The 22749-nt window shown below is 47.1% G+C and overlaps 2 long non-coding RNA genes and 2 pseudogenes across 2 annotated transcripts in view; 3 read left to right on the top strand and 1 right to left on the bottom strand.

The window, feature by feature from the left end:
- Positions 1-21660, top strand: part of LOC124900384 (uncharacterized) — a 54398-nt gene extending 32738 nt beyond the window's left edge. Inside the window, exon 6 of the long non-coding RNA XR_001737579.3 lies at positions 21577-21660. This is a non-coding gene — a long non-coding RNA (uncharacterized LOC124900384). The remainder of the gene's footprint in view (positions 1-21576) is intronic.
- LOC729737 (uncharacterized) lies at positions 1943-7736 on the top strand. The gene is made up of 3 exons (NR_039983.2): positions 1943-2434; positions 2662-2719; positions 2813-7736. It is a non-coding gene; the product is annotated as an uncharacterized LOC729737 (long non-coding RNA).
- Positions 7673-11441, bottom strand: CICP27 (capicua transcriptional repressor pseudogene 27; annotated as a pseudogene).
- On the top strand, positions 13284-15867 carry SEPTIN14P18 (septin 14 pseudogene 18; annotated as a pseudogene).
- Positions 21661-22749: the final 1089 nt, after the last annotated feature.

Genomic DNA, 22749 nt, shown 5'->3' with positions numbered 1-22749 from the left:
CCCAAGCATAATATTTCGTTAATTCTCACAGAATCACATGTAGGTGCCACAGTTATCCCCATTTTATGAATGGAGTGATGAAAACCTTAGGAATAATGAATGATTTGCGCAGGCTCACCTGGATATTAAGACTGAGTCAAATGTTGGGTCTGGTCTGACTTTAATGTTTGCTTTGTTCATGAGCACCACATATTGCCTCTCCTATGCAGTTAAGCAGGTAGGTGACAGAAAAGCCCATGTTTGTCTCTACTCACACACTTCCGACTGAATGTACGTATGGAGTTTCTACACCAGATTCTTCAGTGCTCTGGATATTAACTGGGTATCCCATGACTTTATTCTGACACTACCTGGAGTTAGCACAGACCCCACAAGTTAGGGGCTCAGTCCCACGAGGCCATCCTCACTTCAGATGACAATGGCAAGTCCTAAGTTGTCACCATACTTTTGACCAACCTGTTACCAATCGGGGGTTCCCGTAACTGTCTTCTTGGGTTTAATAATTTGCTAGAACAGTTTACGGAACTCAGAAAAACAGTTTATTTTCTTTTTTTCTGAGAGAGAGGGTCTTATTTTGTTGCCCAGGCTGGTGTGCAATGGTGCAGTCATAGCTCATTGCAGCCTTGATTGTCTGGGTTCCAGTGGTTCTCCCACCTCAGCCTCCCTAGTAGCTGAGACTACATGCCTGCACCACCACATCTGGCTAGTTTCTTTTATTTTTTGTATAGATGGGGTCTTGTTGTGTTGGCCAGGCTGGCCACAAATTCCTGGTCTCAAGTGATCCTCCCACCTCAGCCTCTGAAAGTGCTGGGATTACAGATGTGAGCCACCACATCTGGCCAGTTCATTTCCTATTACTGGTTCATTGTGAAGGATACATCTCAGAAACAGTCAATGAAAGAGACGTGCATGCTGGATGCAGTGGCTCATGCCTGTAATCTCAGCACTTTGGGAGGCCAAGGTGGGAGGATCGCTTAAACTCAGGAGTTTGAGACCAGCCTGGGCAACATGGTGAAAACCTGTCTCTATAAAAAATTAAAAAATAATAATAATAACTGGTGTGGTGTTGTGCACCTAGAGTTCCAACTACTAGGGAAGCTGAGATGAGAGGATACCTTGAGCTGGGGACTGGGGAGGCTTAGGTTACAGTAAGCTGAGATTGTGCCACTGCACTCCAGCTTGGACAAAAGAGCCTGATCCTGTCTCAAAAAAAAGAAAGATACCCAGGGCAAGTTAAGTTCGGAGGGGCACAGAGCTCCCATGCCCTCTGTTGAACATGCGACCCTCCCAGCATCTCCTGTGTCCAGCAACCCTGAAAGCTCTGCAAACCCCTTTCAGGGTGTTTATGGAGGCTTTATTATGCAAGCATGATTGATAAAACCTTTGGCTGTTGGTGATTAAGTCAGTCTCCAGCCCCTCTTCCCCCTGGAGTTCAGTGCATGAGGCTGAAAGTTCCAAGCCTCTTACCATGTGGTTGCATGGTAATCAGCCCTCCTCTTGAAGAAATTTAGGAGCTTGCAGTCACCCAGTCATCTCAACAACATCCCCAAATGCATTCTTACCATGCTGGAGATCCCAAAGTTCTTAGAGGCTCTTGTGTTAGAAACCTGGGACCAAGACCAAATATTAAAACAAAAGATGCTCCTGTCACATCTATCACTGAGGTCTTTGTAAGAGCTTTAGAAGCTCTGTGCCAGGAACCAGGGACAGAGATTAAATATATATTTCTTTTCTTTTTTTTGAGACAGAATCTTCCTGTGCCATCCAGGCTGGAGTGCAGTGATGTGATCATAGCTCACTATAGCTTTGGCCTTCTGAGATCAAGCAATCCTCCCATCTCAACCTCCCAAGTAGCTAGGACTACACACGCATGTCACCCATGCCCAGATCATTTTTGTAGAGTCAGAGTTTCACCGTGGTGGCCAGGTTGGCCATGTTGGCCAGATGGGGTCTTCTTTTGTTGCCCAGGCTGGCCACAAATTCCTGGGCTCAAGTGATCCTCCCACCTCGTCCTTGTAGAGATGAGATTTAGTTATGTCGTCCAGGCTGATCTCAAACTCCTGGGCTAAATCGATTGTCTCACCTCAGCCTCTCAAGTATGTTATGAAGGTTATATGTTAGGAAGGGTCCCAGGAGGTAAACCCACACAGATGGGATTTGGGCATAGGTTTGGTTTCCCAGGGGGCAGTGCTGAGCTCTTTGCCAGTGGGAAATGGGATGCTGGTGATTTCCAGTAGGTGACCTCACAGTGACTCAAGCTACCACTTACTGTTGATTGTGACGAAATGCCAGCTGAGGCACATGCCTTGGGAGCTAAGTGGTTGCTGCCCTTGACCACTGTGAAGACTGGTGTGGGAAGGGTCGTTTTGGATGCACTTGAGCAGGGGTCCCCAACCCCTGAGCCATGGAGCCGCAAGGAGCCACACAGCAGGAGGTGAGCGGTGTCGAGTGAGGGAGTGAGGGAAGCTTCGTCTGTATTTACAGCCACTCCCCTTTGCTCACATTCCCGCCTGAGCTCCACCTTCTCAGATGAGCAGCAGCATTAGATTCTCATAGGAGAACGCACCCTGTTGTGAACCGTGCATGTGAGGGATCGAGGTTGCGCTGTCCTTATGAGAATCTAATACCTATTGATCTGTTACTTTCTCCCATCACGCTCAGGTGGGAACATCCAGTTGCAGGAAAACAAGCTTAACACGCCCACTGATTCTACATTATGGTGAGTTCCATAATTATTTTATTATATATTACAGTGTAATAATGGAAATAAAGTGCCTAATAAATGCAAATGTGCTTACATCTTTTGGCCCAGCTCCTACCTCCCGGCAGCCTCTCCAGGCCCAGAACTTTCTCCAGTCAGCCTCTACAGACCAAGCTCATGACTCTCAATGGCCTATTTAGGCCCATACCCTACGTCACGGCAGCCTCCGCAGATGAGGCTACTGCCTCACAACAGCCTCCACAGGCACAGCTCCATCGTTACAATGGCCTCTTTAGACCCAGCTCCTGCCTCCCAGCCTTCTCTCCAGGCCCTGAACTTTCTCAAGTTGACCTCACCAGGCCCAGCTCATGCTTCTTTGCAGCCTCTCCAGGCCCAGCTCCTGCATCTTGGTGGCCCCTCCAGGCCCAGCCTCTGCCTCCCGTCAGCCTCTACAGTCCCAACGTCTGCCTCACAGCAGATTCTTCACGCCCAGCTTCTACCTCACTGTGGACCCCCCAAGCCAAGCTCCCAACCTTTCAGCAGCTTCTACACACCCAGCTCCTGCCACCCAGTGGCCTCTTTAGGCCAAGCTCATGCTTCACAAGGGCCTTTCCAGGCCCAACTTTTGTCTCATGGCAACCTTCCCTGGCCAGATTCCTGCCTGTCTCCCAGCAGCCTAGACAGGCCCAGGTCTTGCCTCACACTGGCCTCTCTACATCCAGCTTATGCCTCACGGTGGCCTCTCCACGGCCAACTCCTGTCCCAGGACATCATCTCCGGGCCCAAAACTTACTCAAGTCAGACTCTCTAGTCCCAACTGCTGCCTCCTGGTGGCCTATGAAGGCCCAAAATCTCCTCAAGTTGACCTGTCCAGGCCCAGCTCCTGCCTCCTGTCAGCGTCTACAGGCCCAACCTCTGCCTCATGGGGGCTTCTCCAGGCCCACCTCTTCCTCTTGGCTGGGTCTACAGGCACAACTGCTGCCTCACAACAGCCTTTTTTGGCCCAGTTCCTGTCCAGCTAATGGCGGCCAATGTAGGCCCAAAACTTCCTCAAGTCAAACTCTCCAGGCCCACCTTCTGCTTCCCGGTGGCATCAACAGGCCCAGCTTTGACTTGAGAACAGCCTCTGCAGGCCCTGCTCTTGCCTCCCAGGGGCTTTTTCCAGGCCCAGCTCTTGCCTCATGGCAGCTGCCCCAGGCCAAATTTCTGCCTGCCTGCCAGCAGCCTCAACAGGCACAGCTCCTCCCTCACAGTGGCCCATTTAGGCCCAACTTATGACTGTGAGGCCATTTCCAGGCCTAGTGCCTGCCTCGTGGCTGACTCTTGAAGCCCAAAACTTCCTCAAATCAGGCTTTTGCCCAACTTCTGTCTACTGTCGGACTCTACAGGTCAGCCTCTGCCTCACAGTGGACCCTCCAGACCCAGATGGTGTCTCACTGTGGCATCCTCAGGTGAAGCTCCTGCCTTTCGGCAGCCTCTCCAGGCCCAGCTCCTCCTGCCTCCCAGTGGCCTCTTTCGGCCCAGCCCAGCTCATGCCTCCCGGCGGCCTTCCCAAGCCCCGCTTTTGACTTTCGGTGGCCTCTGCAGGCCTCGACAAGGCCCAGCCTCCTGCCTCCCGAAGGCCTGCACAGGCCCAGCCTCTGCCTCACAGCGGACTCTCCACGCCCAGCTAGCTGTTGCTTCACTGCGGCCTCCCGAGTCCAAAGCTCCTGCCTCTCGGCCGCTTCGGCAGGCCCAGCTCCCGCCTGCCAGTGGCCTCTTCAGGCCCATGGGGCTCATTCCTGACAACGGCCTTTCCAGGCCCAGTTTTTCCCTTCCAGCGGCCTCTCCGGGCCCAGAACCTCCTCAAGTCGGCCTCTCCAGACCCACTTGCACCCTCCGGGCGTTCTCTCCGGGCCCAGCTCTTCTTCCTGGTTGGGTCTCCAGGCCCGATTCCTGCCTCTCAACAACCTCTTTGGACTCAGTGCCTACCCATCTCCTGGCGGCCTTGGTCGGTCCACAGCTTCCTCAAGCCAAGCTCCCCAGGCCCAGGTCAGGCCTCACGGTGGCCTCTCCAGGATGAGCTCCTGCCCTCCGATGGCATCTCCAGGCCCCAAATGGTCTCCGGTCGGTGGGCTCCTCCACGCCAAGGTTGGGCCTCCCGGCGACCGCCGCAGGCCCAAGTTGTCCTGAAGTCGGGCTCTCCCGGCCCTGCCTCCCAGCAAGTAAGCAAGCTCTTTTGGCTCAACTCCTGCCCAGCTCCCAACCGCCTTTGTAGGCCCCGAACTTTCTCCAGCCAAGCTCTGAGGGCCCACCTCCTGCCTCCTGGTGGCCTGTACAGTTCTAGCACTGGTTGGAGAACAGCCTCTGCAGGCCCCGCCCTTGCCTCCCAGGGGCCTCTCCAGGCCCAGCTCTTGCCCCCACGGCGGCCTCCCGGGGCCAAGTCCCTGCCTGCCTCCCAGCAGCCCGCGTGCGGCCCAGCTCCTCCCTCACGGTGGCCTGTTGATGCCCAACTCATGCCTCTGGCACCCTGCCCAGAGGCGTGAGCCCCTGCCTCACACTGGCTCCTCCCACGCTGAGAGAGGTCAGTGTGAGCCCTTGCCTCACACCGGCCCCTCCCACGCGGACAGAGGTCAGCGTGAGCCCCTTGCCTCACACCGGCCCCTCCCACGCTGAGAGAGGTCAGTGTGAGCCCCTTGCCTCACACCGGCCCCTCCCACGTGGACAGAGGTCAGCGTGAGCCCCTTGTCTCACACCGGCCCCTCCCACGCTGAGAGAGGTCAGTGTGAGCCCTTGCCTCACACCGGCCCCTCCCACGCGGACAGAGGTCAGCGTGAGCCCCTTGCCTCACACCGGCCCCTCCCACGCTGAGAGAGGTCAGCCCGAGCCCCTTGCCTCACACCGGCCCCTCCCACGCGGACAGAGGTCAGCCCGAGCCCCTTGCCTCACACCGGCCCCTCCCACGCTGAGAGAGGTCAGCCCGAGCCCCTTGCCTCACACCGGCCCCTCCCACGCTGAGAGAGGTCAGCCCGAGCCCCTTGCCTCACACCGGCCCCTCCCACGCTGAGAGAGGTCAGTGTGAGCCCTTGCCTCACCCCGGCCCCTCCCACGCGGACAGAGGTCAGCCTGAGCCCCTTGCCTCACACCGGCCCCTCCCACGCGGACAGAGGTCAGCCTGAGCCCCTTGCCTCACACCGGCCCCTCCCACGCGGACAGAGGTCAGCCTGAGCCCCTTGCCTCACACCGGCCCCTCCCACGCTGAGAGAGGTCAGTGTGAGCCCCTTGTCTCACACCGGCCCCTCCCACGCGGACAGAGGTCAGCGTGAGCCCCTTGCCTCACACCGGCCCCTCCCACGCTGAGAGAGGTCAGCCTGAGCCCTTGCCTCACACCAGCCCCTCCCACGCGGACAGAGGTCAGCGTGAGCCCCTTGCCTCACACCGGCCCCTCCCACGCTGAGAGAGGTCAGTGTGAGCCCTTGCCTCACACCGGCCCCTCCCACGCGGACAGAGGTCAGCGTGAGCCCCTTGCCTCACACCGGCCCCTCCCACGCTGAGAGAGGTCAGTGTGAGCCCTTGCCTCACACCGGCCCCTCCCACGCGGACAGAGGTCAGCGTGACCCCCTGCCTCAACAGGCCACCGTGAGGGAGGAACAGGATCGCACTCGGGCTGCTGGGAGGTAGGCAGGGACTTGGGCCTGGGAGGTCGCGGTGGGGCGAGAGCTGGGCCTGGAGACTCCCCTGGGAGGCAACAGCGGGGTCTGCAGACACCCTTCTCCAGCCGGAGCTGGGACTGTTCAGTCACTGGGAGAAGGGATGTGGGTCTGAAGAGCTTGGTTGCAGAAACTTTGGGGTCTACAAACGCAGGCGGGAGCTGAGCCAAAAGAGCTTGTTTGCTGGGAGGTGGGAGATGCAGCCAGGAGGAACAGCTGGGCAATGCGGGAGGCAGAGGCCAGGCCTCCTCAAGTTGGCCTCTCAGACCCACTTGCAGCCTCCCGGCGCCCCCTCCGGGCCCAGCTCTTCCTCCCGGCTGCATCTCCAGGCCGGACTCTGGCCCGACTCCAGGTCCCAACAACGTCTTTGGACTCAGCTCCTGCCCAGCTCCCAGCGGCCCTGGTAGGCCCACAACTTCCCTAAGCCAAGCTCCCCAGGCCCAGCTCAGGCCTCGCGGTGGCCTCTCCAGGCTCAGCTCCTGGCCCTCCGATGACATCTGCAGGCCCCAAATGGCCTCCGGTCGGTGGGCTCCTCTAGGCCCAGCTTGGGCCTCCCGGCGGCCTCCGCAGGCCCAAATCGTCCCGAAGTCAGTCTCTCCAGGCTTAGCTCCAGCCTCCCGGCGGCCTCTGCAGGCCCAAGTCGTCCTCAAGTCGGCCTGGAAGTGGGCCTGGAAGAGCAGCAAGTCGGCCTCCCTGGGCCCAGCTCCGTCCTCTCGACGGCCTCTCCAGGTGCAAAACTTCCTCGAGTCAGCCTCTCCAGGCCCAGCTCCTCCTGCCTCCCAGTGGCCTCTTTCGGCCCAGCCCAGCTCATGGCTCTCGGCGGCCTTCCCAGGCCCCGCTTTTGACTTTTGGCAGCCTCTTCAGGCGCAGAACTTGATCTCCAGTCGGCCTTTGCAGGCCCGGCCTCCTGCGTCTCGAAGGCCTGCACGGGCCCAGCCTCGGCCTCGGCCTCACAGCGGACTCTCCACGCCCAGCTAGCTCTCGCCTCACTGCGGCCTCCCCAGTCCAAAGCTCCTGCCTTTCGGCCACTTCGGCAGGTCCAGCTCCTGCCTGCCAGTGGCCTCTTTAGGCCCAGCTCATTCCTCACGTCGGCCATTCCAGGCCCTGTTTTTCCCTTCCGGCAGCCTCTTGGCCTCTAATTTGTTTATCTTTTGTGTATAAATCCCAAAATATTGAATTTTGGAATATTTCCACCATTATGTAAATGTTTTGGTAGGTAATTTATTTGGAGTGAGTTTCTGCGCCAAGCCCGAATTTTTTATTTTATTTTCCTTATTATTTGGTGTTAAACAGGTTTAATGACGGTCATGGCAACTTTTTGGCACAATGAAAAATATCGCCCACGATCAACGTGTTCTGTTCTGGGGAAGGGGGCAAAGGCAGGGTGAATCACTTTCTTAAAAAGTATAGCTCAAGTTGGGAGTGCAGAGGGAATGGGGAGAAAACCCTCCTGCTGCCTGTGTCGAAGTGCAGGAGCCCCCACCCCCATACTCACCTGAGTCCAGCCCCTCTGGGGAAAGAAGGGGTGCATGAACTCCCCCTAGTCCACAGGCGCCTCCCTGTGGCCCAAGGCCCTCTTCACACTCCATCTTGTAGCCCCAGCAGGAGCTATTTTCCGAAAAGTGAAAAGCTCTGAAGGTCCCACAATTCATGGTATGTACAGGGGCTCGGAGGAGGGAAACTGCCCAGCTTTCCCCCGGCACAGCTGCAGGGGTAGGGGGTATAGATAAGAGGAGCAGGCCTTGGCCAGGCGTGGTGGCTCACGCCTGTAATCCCAGCACTTTGGGAGGGGGAGGCAGGCAGATCACGATGTCAGGAGATCGAAATCAGCCTGGCCAAGATGATGAAGCCCCGTCTGTACTAAAAATACAAAAATTAGCCGGACGTGGTAGCGTCCACCTGTAATCCTAGCTACCCGGAAGGCTGAGGCAGGAGAATGGCGTGAACCCAGCGGGAAGAGGTTGCAGTGAGCCAAGATCGCACCACTGCACTCCAGCCTGGGCGACAGAGCAAGACTCGGTCTCAAAAAAAAAAAAAAAAAAAAAAAAAAAAAGGAAGGCCTTACTCCGTCCCAAACTGAAAGGATTAAATGGCTTCACCTGGGAGAAGATAACCATCCTGCCCTCCATTGCTACCCCCACATACTGTCCATGTTCTCAGGGGGTACTGTGAGTCCTGGGATCTTTGGGGTTGCCCACCTGCCTGTGCTAGTTATGGAGACCCCCAGGTGTTGAGGCAGGGCTGGGGTGTCCCCTTCCAACCAGGCTGTCAAGGCACCAACTCTGGGGCAGAGGCAGTGGCAGGGCAGCCAGGGTTGTGCCAGAGCCTGAGCAGGTTGAGGTGGGGTCAGGCAGGGCTGGGAGTCAGGGCAGGGGCAGCAGCAGTGGACCTGCTATGCACACATCTTCTTCTCCAAGGTTTGTGTGCAGAACATCCTGCCCATGCTGCCCCAGCAGCTTCAGTTGGCACCTGCCTCAGTCCAGCCTCTGGGAACCATGCAGCAGCTCCCAGCGGCCCTGCACCCACCACCAGCATCCGTTTCACCTGCAGTTGAAGATCCGTGAGGTGCCCAGAAGATCATGCAGTCATCAGTCCCACGGAGCAGCCTGCGAGGCTGAGGCTCCTCCCACTGGACCGCCCCCCAACTGGCACCACTGCTGCCCCTGCCCCTACTCTCAGCCTCACGTGACTCTCGGGCAGAAGCACTGGTGGGGCAGCCAGGGCAGCGTCAAGAGTCTGAGCCAGGTGAGGTGCGGTCAGGACCCCCACAGGGCTGGGAGTCAGGGCAGGGGCAGAACAAACCTTGGAGGGGAAGATGTGTGCATAGTGGGCCTGGAGGGCGGCTGTGGCCTAGTGGACAGGAAGAAGCAGTGGGCCTGGAAGAGCTGCATGATCAGGGCCGGCACTGGTCCAGGGTACATGCAGTGAAGAGGACAGCGCCTTCTTGGTCTCCGGTTCCCTGAGCCTGTCCTCGGCTTCTCCACCTGTACAGGCAAAGGGGAAGCTGTCCCCATCACACATGGCACACTTGGGGGTGTTGGGCTTTGGACTGCAGCTGGAGCATCTTCTCATCTTGCATTTGGGCGCGGTGGGGTCCTCCAGTGTGGGGTCCATGTCCGTGGGGTTCCCTCTGCCCCGACCCCGAAAGCCCAGTCAGTTTCTCTTCAGGCTCTGCCCCCCGGGTGGCTCAGCCCAGCTCCTGCCTAGGAAAGCCTTAGTGTTGGGAGGGACCCTGATGACTGAGGAGCCTGGTAGCTCCAGGTCGCCCACACTTTCAGGTCTCTTGCACCAGAAGGTGGCAGGATCCATTGGGAGGAAACAGGCCACCTTGGAAGGCGTCCCTGGGCCCCCATCCCCAGGGGTTGGGGCCGTAGGGGGCCCGCTCTGCTGCGTTGACCAGACTCCTGGGCTTTGAAGGCTCCTGGGCCCAGTAAGAAGGAGGTGGGTGCCAAGGTTGAGGAGGAAGCATCCGAGTATGTGTAGGAGGAGGACAGGGTGTGACCATAGACTGCCAAAAGCTGCAGGTGGATCGGGGGACCCTGGGGGCTCAGGATCCAGCAAGGGGCGGCAGGAGTAAAGGAGGAAGGAATGACAGGTGCAAATACCTTCCCACCAAAGCCCTTGTTGCCCTCTGGCTCCTCCCCAGAGTTGTCCCCACTCTCAGTCGGTCACCCACTCCTTGAACTTGAGATCGGTGTCGGTGGTGCTAAAGCCATCATCAGCAATGACATCATCACCCCCTCCTCCTCATGGATGACCGTGTGCTCTTCGTCACTCGCTATGACCTCGCTGGCCATGTGCTGGGAATGAGCAGCTCACGTGGGCGGCAGCAGGGCTGCCCACGGGTCACCTCCCTCACCAGGGGCTGCAAAGTGGCCTGGAGCTCCATGCTGAGTAGAAGGCTTTGGGCCAGAGTATGATGCAGTGCCAGACACCACCTGTGTCAGTTCCCGTAGTGCCTGACGGTCTATTTCCCTGCCGTCCAGGCTGTGTACCCCGCTGTGGGAGAAGGCTTGGGCCAGGCTGAGCCAGGTTCCCTGACTGTGTGCAGCCGTTCTGCCCCACAGAAGCTGCTCCTTGGTATCCGAGCTCTGGAGTGTTTGGGCTGCAACTGACAGGAGTTCAGAGGACACCCCAGGGGCAGTGGCAGTGCCCGTCTCTGATATGCTCCGCTCCCACGAGCCCTTGTTACACTCCTGCTAGCCCCTGGCTTGTGGGCTTGGCCTCTGAGCTGGACTTCTTTCGGTCCTTGTTGCAAGTGGGCCACCTTCACCTGGAAGGCCAGGTTGTATTTCTGCATCTCATTGGGCCCCAGGGTGTACCACCGCTCGCTCAGCATCTGGCTGACGGTCCGGTTATCCTGGTTGGGGTGACCCTGGTGCGCCCCGCCAGGGCCTGGTGCCGCCTGCTGAAGATCATGAGCGCCACTCATGGGCCACCGGATGTGGTCCTTGTCTGATTTGTTGGGGCTGCGTCCATCCTTCTCAGAAGATGAGTCCTGTTCCTTGCGCAGGGCACTGAGGGACTGGGCCTGACATCATCTGAGTGGTAGAGGCAACTGGGTGTCAGGAGACATGATGGAGAGGAAAGCATCATCATGGTCATTCTCTGTCTCACTGTCCAGCAGGGACTCCCCTGAGGGGCCCAGGGCTCCTCCTCCATGGTGGGAGGTGAGCTTTTACCAGGTTCCACCAACCCCAAAGTGTGTGGGGTTGCGGGCCCTGGGCTTTCAGGGCAGGTGGCTCCAGGGGGCCGCCCAGGGTCAACACTCCCTGTCCCACCTGGTGGACGCTCATGAGCAACAGCTGCCAACTTGGCAGGTTGTTTTCTCTGGTTGGAGGCCACTGAGTGACTGGCAGGTTGCTGGGCCTCGTGTGGCTGCAGGGAGGGGTCAGGAAGGGGATGGAGTACCAGGAGAACACGGCCGCAGAGTGACCTTCCACATTCCTCCACACGAACATGCTGACGCCACGGGAGGCCTCACTGAACGCAGGCCTGGGGGCCGAGCACTTGGTCCGGGCAGGGGGTTCCTGGCAGGGGCTCACACCTCCTCGCCCCCTCCTCAGCCAAGGTGGCTTGGGCCCAGAGAAGGGGAGGTTGGAGAGGAGCAGAAGGCCAGGCCTCAAGTTTTGTTTTTTTTGTTTGTTTTGTTTTTTGTTTTTGAAATGTAGTTTGACTCTTGTCACCCAGGCTGGAGTGCAGTGGCACGATCTCAGTGGCCTTCATACCTGGCTAATTTTTTGTATTTTTACTGGAGGTGGGGTTTTGCCATGTTGGCCAGGCTGGTCTTGACCTCCCGACCTCAGGTGATCCACCCACCTCAGCCTCCCAAAATGGGATTACAGGCATGAGCCACCGCTCCCAACTTCATTCATTTTTACTTGAAAAACTCCGTTAAGCATTTTTTTAAGGTAGACCTAGTGGTCCTGAATGCCCTCAGCTTTGTTTGTCGAGGAAACACATTATTTCTTTTTCCTTTCTGAAGGACAGCTTTGTCAGACATAGTATTAGTTGCTGGCAGTTTTTTTCTTTCAGCACTTTGAATGTATTATTCGATTCTGTCCTGACCTGCAAAGTTTCTTTAACTTTTGACTATTTGATTATATTGTGACTTGGTGAGTATCTATTTGGTTTGAACCTCTTTAGGAATCTTTAAGCTTCATGGATTTAGATGTCTAAATCTTTCCCATGATTTAGGCAGTTGTCAGCCATTCTTTAAATAAGCTTTATTCTCCTTTCTCTACTTTCCTTCTCAAACTCCCATAACCTGACAATGGTTTGCTTAATGGTGTCTTGTTGGCTTTCTTTTCTCTGTCTCTTTTTTTTTTCTTTTTGAGACAGAGTCATGCTCTGTCACCCAGGCTGGAGTGTAATGTGTGGTCTCGGCTCACATTGCACTCCAACCTCCGCTTCCTGGGTTCAAGCGATTCTCCTGCCTCAGCCTCCCAAGTAGCTGGGACTACAGGTGTGTGCCACCACACCCGGCTAATTTTTGTATTTTTAGTAGAGATGGGGCTTTGTCATGTTGGACAGGCTGGTCTTGAACTCCTGACCTCTTAATCTGCCTGCCTCGGCCTCCCAAAGTGTTGGGATTACAGGCTTGAGCCACCACACCCAGCCTTCTTTTCTCTCTTTTATTCTTTTTTTCTCTGTCCACTGACTGGATAATTTCGGAAGATCTATATTCAAGTTTACAGATTCTCTCTCCTGTTGAAGTTGACTATTGTGTTATATCACCCAGTCTGGTCTTGAACTCCTGGGCTCAAGCGATCCTCCCACCTTGGCCTCCCAAAGTGCTGAGTTTACAAGCATGAGCCACTGCATCCAGTCAGTCCCAGCACTTTGGGAAGCTGAGGTGGGAGGATCACTTGAGCTCAGGAGTTTGAGACCAGCCTGGGCAACGTACTGAGAACTTGTCTCTATATTAAAAAAAAAAAAAAAGTCTTTGGGAGGCCAAAGCGGGAGGATCACCTGAGGTCAGGAGTTCGAGACCAGCCTGGCCATCATGGCAAAACCCCATCTCTACTAAAAATACAAAAATTAGCCAGGTGTGGTGGCACACGCCTGTAGTGGTGGTGCATGCCTATAGTCCCAGCTACTCAAGAGGCTGAGGCAGGAGAATCACTTGAACTGGGAGATGGAGGTTGCAGTGAGCTGAGATCGCACCAGTGCACTCCAGCCTGGGCAACAGAGTGAGACTCCATCTTATAAAAGGAAAAAAGAAAGAAAAGAAAAATTCCATATCTGAGTGTTTACTCCTGAGTTTTTGAGATTGTTATTAAGATCGTGGTCTACTGTGATGATTTGGGTTTGTTTGATAATCAGAAAAAAAGCGTATTCTTTTAGGTGTTCAGCCACACTGCTTTGGTGTCACAACTGCACATTGGTTTCACAGCTGCAGGACAAGTTCGAGCATCTTAAAATGATTCAACAGGAGGAGATAAGGAAGCTCGAGGAAGAGAAAAAAAAACTGGAAGGAGAAATCATAGATTTTTATAAAATGAAAGCTGCCTCTGAAGCACTGCAGACTCAGCTGAGCACCGATACAAAGAAAGACAAACATCGTAAGAAGCAATAGTTTCTCTTACTATTCTGAGAGCCTTATCATTCTACATCCCATCTTCCTGTGAGTTTGTCTTTGTAGCATTTAACTCTAATTGCAGTTCTCATTTTAAAAACTGGCTTGCTTATTGTATATTTTCCCCAACTAAAGCGTGAACTCCTAGCAGGGCGTGGTGGCTCATGCCTGTAATCTCAGCACTGTGGGAGGCCGAGGTGGGTCGACTACCTGAGGTTAGGAGTTCGAGACCAGCCTGACCAGCATGATGAAACGCTGTCTCTACTAAAAATACAAAAATTAGCTAGGCGTGGTGGCTGGGACCTGTAATCACAGCTACTTGGGAGGCTGAGGCAGGAGAATCACTTGAACCCTGAAGGTGGAGGTTGCAGTGAGCAGAGATCTCACCAGTACACTCCAGCCTGGGTGACAAGAGCAAAACTGCATCTCAAAAAAAAAAAAAAAAGGGGGTGAACTTGAAGGCAGGTCCTGTGTCCATCTTTTCAGATTCTGTATCCCAGCACTTAGGACATAGACAAACACGAAGATGACAATCAATATTTGCCAAAATGAAAAAACAAAAGAAACATGTAACATCATGTAAAAGAAGCTGGTTAGGTGGAGAAATTTATTTACCATAGTCTTGCTTGTGGATCCAGTAGTGACTTTTACAGTTTATATCTAAATAGAAGCTGGAGGCTTTGTTGGGGACTCATAGGCATAAAATATTATTTATTATAGAGTTAAATGCTACAAAGACAAATCTAATTAATAGGCCTATTTTCCTTTTTAAATTCTACTCATAATTTCTTCATAGTTTTTATGATAAAAGGTTGGATTTTGATTAGAACTCCCATGATTTTGTGTCAGAATTAAAACTGGTATTAGAATAAATAATTCAAAAGCTAGAGAAAGAGTACAAAGAGAAGCCATGAGTTGCATTTGAATTATAATATTATGTCTTACAGATTTGGGGTATATGCTAAAGTTACCAAAGTTGTAGAAAATAAGGCCGGGCATTGTGGCTCACATCTGTAATTCCAGCACTTTGGGAGGCCGAGGTAGATGGATCATTTGAGGTCAGGAGTTCGAGACCAGCCTGGCCAACATGGTGAAACTCCGTCTGTACTAATAGTACAAAAATTAGCCAGGCGTGATGGTGTGCACCTGTAGTCCTTGCTACTCAGAAAGCTGAGGCAGGAGAATCGCTTGTACCCAGGAGGCAGAGGTTGCAGTGAGCAGAGATTGTGCCACTGCACTCCATCCTGGGTGACAGAGTGCTATGAGTCACCACACCTGGTATGAGCCACCGTGCCTGGCCCACAATGACTTTTACACATGTTGTTAAATCATCTTACAGATTTTATAATTTGGGGGAAGAAAAGTTTTACTAAATTGTCTTTTAATGGAAACTCTACAAGAACCAGAATCTTTGCTTTGTTCACTTATGTATCCATTCCTAGGCCTAGAAAAATGTCTGACACATAGCGGCAATTATTCATTGAATAAATGGACCCAGGGATAGTACATTAGCTATGCTATATGCATACATTAAAGATGTAGATTATCGACTTTCAAAAGATAATTAATGTAACTTCTTACTGCTTCTGAACATGTTTGTGAGTTATATTGCTGAGGGACCTTTATCTTCTCATTCTTTCATCTTAACCCAGTGTTATAAAATTGAAATCACCAATATTATTCCATATCTAAAATTAATATCTACCTTGTAAAAAATATCACTCTGCTGCATTTGAGAATAGACTTTTTAGGTAATAATGATGCAATCCATAGGGTTTTTTGGGGGCACAGAGGGATTCATGCTAACAGAACATTTTATTTTCTATTTTCCCAGAGCTGTAAAACATGAAATTACGGTAGTATAAGGCATATTTTTACTCTTTTTATAATTTTTTCTAAAAAAAATTAGTGTTTGTTCCCTATATAACTTTTAACTTTATAGGTAAATATTTGTTTCTTTCAGCTCCAGTTTTATGTGAAATAGAGTTTTCAGATTTATGTAGCATGGAAAGTTTTAATACGTCAGAGTTACTGATTTTTGCCAATCATTTTCTCAATTATTTCTTTTTTATCTTTAGTTGATTTTTTTGTAGTGACACATTTTGTTTCTAGTCTCATTTCCTTTTGTTTATATTCTATGTATATTTCATTTTTGGTTACTATGAGAATTACATATAACATCCTAGAGTTATAACATTTTAATTTGAATTTATTTCAACTTAAGTTCAATCACATACCAAAATTCTACTGCTATATATATAGCTCTACTCTTTTTATGTTATTGATGTGACAAATTATATCTTTATTCATTGTATACCAGCTAACAGATTTACAATTACATTTTATGCATTTGCCTTTTAAATTATGTAGAAAATAAAAAGCAGAGTTACAAACCAAAATTACAATAGGACTGTTTTTATGTTTGTTTATGTATTTACCTTTACCAGAGAGCTTTGTATATTCATACAGCTTGCTTATTTACTTATATAGTTATTGCCTAGAGTTCATTTATTTCAACCTGAAGGACTTAACACTTCCTGAATGTCAAATTCAGGGATAAATGGATTTTTTTCAGTTTTAAAAAAAAATCCGGAAATGTCTTAATTTCTCCTTCATTTTTGAAGGATAAGTTTTCCAGCTATATATTTCTCAATTGACAGGTTTCTTCATTATTTTAAATATATAATCCACTGCCTACTGGCCTTCAAGGTTTCTGCTGAGAAATCAGCTGCTAATGTTATCTGGATCCCTATCTGTGAGAGTTGCTCTTCTCTCTGAGTTTTCAACATTCTCCCATTATCTTTTTTTTGTTTGTTTTTGAGACAAATAATTGTACATATTCATGGGATACAGAGTGATATTTTGATACATGTATACAATGCCCAGTGATCAAATAAGGATAATTAGCGTATCCATCACCTCAAATAGTTGTCATTTATTTGTATTGTGAACAGTCAACATTCTTTCTTCTAGTTTTTTAAATTTATAAACATTTAAATTTTATTACAGAAATTTAAATTTTTTGATTCTGAAAAAGTCATATATGTATGCAACATTTTTTATCGTTTATTTATATATTTATGCATCTTTCCTTTTAGTTTTGACAGAGATTTTCTATTTTATCATTATTTCAAAAGAACTCTTACCTGTATTTATTTATCAAGTATATTTCCCTTGTTTTTTCCTAGTATATTAATTTATTTACTTATCTTCTAAAAATCCTCCATATAATCTGTTTATTTTGTTTCCTTTCTATAATTTCTTCAATAATTAGTTCTGTTCTATTTTCCATTAAAATATTTAAATCTTGTATGAATTTTTGTCAGATTAGAAATTTAGGGCGTTTCTTAATTTCTCTATACTCTAGCTTTTGACTTTTTTTTTCTGACCTAAGAGGTATTTAGAGCACATTTTAGATTTTTTATTTTGACTAATCATTTAAAATGTATACTAATCTTCAATTTAAATAAAAAACTGGTCTATAGTGACAAAAATTACAAATGAGCCTAACTAATAAATTATCAGCTGTGTTTATATGTATAAGCATGCACAGATTTTGGTAAATATGTACATAGTATATTGGTGAGCTTATTTTTATCATTCTTAACTCATTGTGTAGTCTAAACGTTGGGGAAAAAATAACATACAATAATCAGATGGTGTGAATAAGAAAATTGTTCTAATGTTTGTAAACCAAGCAACTGTTTTAACTGCTCCCCTCTTCCTGATTGACTTCTAAAAGGGATTGATCCATATTGGGTCCTATCATGTACGTCACGGTATAACATCTCCAGCTATAAAATGGAAATTTGAGAATAACTTTGCTGCTACTCAGATATATTTTATTTCAAAAACATACACTAAGGTGTTGCTGTTGGATCTTTCCAAAAACATATTCACACAGAACTTTCAATCACACTGAGCCATATTTGAACAATCTTTCAAGGTCAGCTCTGGCATAAGCTAACATTATACCATTTAACTCAGAAATTTCTTTAGTATTTGATTAATGGGTTTATGTTTGATATGTAATGTAATTTTCTAATACTAAATCAAGTGGTAATTTTGTTAGTCAAGTTGATTTAGTGGCTTGGGAAGAAAGCTTTTAATGTTCCCCTAATTTTTCTTTCCTTTGACATGATCCTTCACATGTCTTATTTTGCTTAGTGATTTTTCTTTTTTTTTTTTTTTTTTTGAGACAGGGTCTTACTCTACCACCCAGGCTTGAGTGCAGTGGTGCAATCACAGCTCATTGCAGCCTTGACCTCCCAGACTCAAGCTATTCTTCCACCTCAGCCTCCCAAGTAGCTGGTACTACAGGCACATGCCACCAAACTTGGCTAATTTTTGTATTTTTTGTAGAGACAGAGTTTTGCCAAATTCTCAGGCTGGTCTGGAATTTCTGGGCTCAAGTAATCCTGCCTTGGCCTCCCAACATGCTGATATTACAGACATAAGCCACAGTACCTGGCCAGTTTTCTTTTTAAAAAAATCTATTGGTTATTAATTTGAAGCCTTCCTTTTCATAGCTGTGCTCCTTAATTGGGAGCAAACATGAATGGACCACAACTTAGCCAATTTTCTATATACGATCTTTGCCATCCTAATTTAAAGGAATATTAATTCTTTCTTTTCCTCTTTCATTCCACAAACCTGTATTGACTACATCTAAGTTCTAAATGGTGCACTGGATGTTGAAAAAGTTGATGATGAGCAAGAACAAAATTCCTGCTTTCAGGAGACTTACAGTTCAATATGGGAAATATAATTTGTTAAAATATAAAAGTGCAATTGTGTTACATGCTGTACGAAGTACATGTTGACATGTGAGCATATAATAAATGGGCTGGAGGCCAGAGGATTGCCAAAGAGAATGGGCCTCCTGCTGAGATGAAAAGTTGAGCAGGGATTAGTTGGCAAAAGTGGAGGGACGATCCTTTCTAGGCAGGAGGAAGAACATGTACAGAATCTCTGAGGTGTGATGCGACAAAGTCTATATAAAAAACTGAAGAAAGGTCTAATATGGCTTAAATACAGAAGCTAGTAGGAGAGGAGTCGAAAAGAGGCTGGAGAAGTAGAAAGTGTCTGCATTCTGCAGGAACTTATATTGTATAAAATATATTGTATATTGTATAAAAAGAATTTCTCTTTATTCTAAGTGCAATGTGAAGCCAATGAAGTGCTTTAAACAGGTGATGTGATTTGATTGAATTTATTACTTCACTTAACAAATATTCATTACATGCCCACTGTTTGTCAGATATTGCTCTAGCCCCTGGTGATACAGTAGGGAATAAAACAGGCAAAAATCCCTGTCCTCTTGCAGCTTATAATGGACTGCAATGTTTAATATGTCAGAGGAGGTCCACGGAGGAGTGACTTCTAAGCAAGAATCTGAAAAAAATGAGGATATCTAAGGAGGGAACAAATGGTTCAAAAGCCCTATAATTGCAAGCAGGCATGATGAAGCAATTGCAGTTGTCCTGACTCTCAACACCGTGGAACTCAAAGGAGATGGAAAGATTCCTTCTCTCCCTCATATATTTTCTCTCTTTCTGTCTATATATATAGAATATGAGACATTTCCCTAATCATTATGTGTAATTACAATTACATATATATATGTAATTGTAATTACACATAATGATTAGGGAAATGTCTCATATTCTTCTACTCAGAAATAAGCAATATAGCAATTACTGTTTTTTACATTTTACAGTTACAGTTTCAGAGAAAGTTTGATATTTATCTAAAATTTTTCAATGTATGAACTTTTTCATTTGACAAACCATAATTGTACATATTCTTGGGATACAGAGTGATATTTTCTTTACATGTATAGAATGTGTAGTGATCAAATCAGGGTAATTTCCACTAATTTAAAATGCCACCTTTATGTTATTGTAATTTATATATATACTATATATATACACACACACATATATATATATACATGTCCACATACAGTGTGTGTGTGCACATGTACACACATGCATATGTGTATATAATGCCCAGTATAAGCAATGTGCACAAATAAAATTAGCTAACAGAGATAGTATAGAGTGAGAGGAGAGGCAGATTAATCTTTGAGGAAAAGCACAATTTTATAGCTGAATGGAGAAAGCTGAGGTGGTTTCTAAGATGGAGAATAAGACGAAAAATGTAAGTACGTTGTCTGACTGAATTCAAGAAAGAAGGGTAAAAGAGAAGAAAGTAGTGGTCTTATCATTAAATGCCACAGAGAGGTAAAGATAAAGACAACATATTGTTTTGGGTTTAGTAATTTAAGGGTTACCAAATTCCGTTTTGGAGGAGGAACAGATTCCATGTCCACTAGAATGGAATGAACAAGAAATGGAGGAGGAAAATAGGTAGTTTTTCAAAAGTTTTCAAAAATATGAAAAGAAGAAATGAAGTGGTACTTGGAAGAGATTGTTGAAATGGGAGAGACTATGGTGGCTTGTTTAGAAGCAGTTGAGATAGATCCAATTGAGATAGAGATATTGACTATATAAACAAAAGAATGACAAATTAATAGTGTAATGGATAACTTGACTTTGGCAAATATTGTGAATTTTTGTGAAAGTACAACTAAAAGGCAATGTCACTCCAATAATCACCAGAGTAATCAATTTGCTTATTGCTGTCCCTTTAAATATAGTTCTCTGGTATCAACTAACATGTTTTTAACTAATGATGCTTCTTAAAGAAAAGGGAAAAGACCTTTTTCTTTCTTTCAGTCTTCAATGATTCACTGCTTCATCTCGCTCCACCAAAGATAAATGAAATCTACATCTCTTATACATTAACAATGCATGACAATTTACAAATAGCTAAATTTTTGGAGCTAACTTTAAGTACCTGAATGGAATTTAATCAACCCACTAATCTCCTTCTCACTTCTCAGTTATTTATCAAGTTTATGTCAAGGGACAAGGAAAAATTATCCAAACATTGTTTAAAACAATCATCATTAATTAGTAACACTTATCCAGGGGGGTTTTTAACCTTTCCCCCACTCAAGGATTATTCTAATGTCAGAGTAGAATAAAAAATAAGTGCAGTGATGCTGACTCTTCCAAGCTTAACATTTCTCACAAGTCAATTAGCTTTGTACTGGGAGGAGGGCGTGAAGGGCTGCTTGCGGTAGTTGTGTAGCAGCAGCACAATGGCCGCAGACAAGGAAAACAGTTTCTAGGAATTCCTCGTATATAATTTTATATTTTTGACAAGATTAATGACCCATGCTCCCTTCCTCTCCATTTCTTTTTTTGGAATTCTGTTGGTATGTAGTTACTATATTTTATTAAAGGAAATTAGCCTTATCTCTTATTATATTTTATTAAAGAAAATTATTATATTATTCCTTTATATTTTTATTAAAGGATTTTATTATTATTAAAGGAAATTAGCCTTATCTCTTATTATATTTTTTATGACCTTCAAAGTAGTGTCTCTGCTTAAAAGTGTACCCTGGCCGGGCGTGGTGGCTCACACCTGTAATTCCAGCACTTTGGGAGGCCGAGGCGGGTGGATCACGAGGTCAGGAGATCGAGACCATCCTGGCTAACACGGTGAAACCCCGTCTGTACTAAAAATACAAAAAATTAGCAGGGCATAGTGGCGGGCGCCTGTAGTCCCAGCTACTCAGGAGGCTCAGGCAGGAGAATGGCGTGAACCCGGGAGACGGAGCTTGCGGTGAGCTGAGATCGCACCGCTGCACTCCAGCCTGGGCGACAGAGCAAGACTCCGTCTCAAAAAAAAAAAAAAAGTATACCCTGAGGCACACATCAAGCGACATGTAGAGTTCATAAATTCTGGCCAAATGGTCATACCTCAAACCTCATCAGCAGTAAGGCTCTTTACTTGCACTGACAAATATGAACGCTGGGGAATTTGGAAATGATATATAATATATAATATTATATATATAATAGATATATAATATATAATATATATAATACATATATAATATATAATATATATAATACATATATAATATATATGTAATAGATATACAATATATAATATGTAATAGATATATATTATATATAATAGATATATAATATATAACTTTCCATGTGATTTTCCTCTTAATTTTTTTCTAGCTGATCCATATGAATTCCTCTTATTAAGAAAAATAAAGCATCCAGGATTCAATGAAGAACTGACTATCACCTTGTTAATCATTCAGAAACATGTTGCAGGCTTAAGCCATTTTTGATATAGATACTGAAACAATTACTTGCTAAGAGCAAACTTGAAGGTATGGATAAGGCCCTGAGTCATCTTCCTGAGCTGAATGATAGTTAAGCTGAATGTACGTATAAAATATAATTTTCTAACCACTTGCTCGCCAACAAGGAAAACTTTTAAGTAGAGCAGAACCTGAATAGACAAGACATTTCTTTCTTTTGGTAGAAAATGATTTACCATCACTGTGTAGTTAATTGTAGACTAGGTAATTTTAACTTTGTGATTTATTGCCGGAGACATTTTCTTCTGTACTGTAAAGTGTGTGTCAAAAAAAAAATAGCGATTTTGGAGGATTAGGGGACTTTGATAAATTGCCTGCAATTCTGACAGTATGAACTGCATATTAATTTCTGTCTTTCAAGAACATTTTTATTTATTAATTCCTTACAAAAACTCCCTAAACTTTGGAACAGCTCTCAATTGCCTGTATTCTTTTTTTTCTTATTATGGTACTCTTCTAGAGATTTGGCTTGCATCTGTGAATAAGCCAGGACATCTTCAGAAATTGTCTGATTAAAAACACCACCAGTGGAGTTTCATTAAATTTGTATTGCTCTGACTAGTGAAACACACACATCTATGTTGCTGAGGATATTTTACTGCAGTTCGAGTTGTAATAATAGCTCTGTTTAAGATCCGTCAGTCACTTGAATCTTCTCTAAGGCTTTGTATGTTAGAAGTTAATTTGCTTTCTTACAAGGCCACATTCTATCTTGTAACTAAACAACTGAATTTTATGTCTTAGCGTAGATGGTTTATTACTTTCTGGTTTTTCTTTAGTAAGAATCCTATAAAAACACTAGTATTTTTCTCTGAGTTTAAAATTCAATACATGCCTACTGATATGGTTAGGCTTTGTATCCCCACCTGAATCTCATCTTGAATTGTAATCCCCATAGTCCCCATAATCCCCACAGGTCAAGGGAGAGACCAGGTGGAGGTAATTGAATCATGGGGGCAGTTTCCCCTGTGCTGTTCTTGTGATAGTGAGTTCTCACGAGATTTGATGGTTTTATAAGGGATTC

This window comes from Homo sapiens, chromosome 1 (assembly GCF_000001405.40).
Source record: "Homo sapiens chromosome 1, GRCh38.p14 Primary Assembly".
Classification (NCBI taxonomy): domain Eukaryota; kingdom Metazoa; phylum Chordata; class Mammalia; order Primates; family Hominidae; genus Homo; species Homo sapiens.
This window is presented reverse-complemented; position numbering and strand designations above follow the sequence as displayed.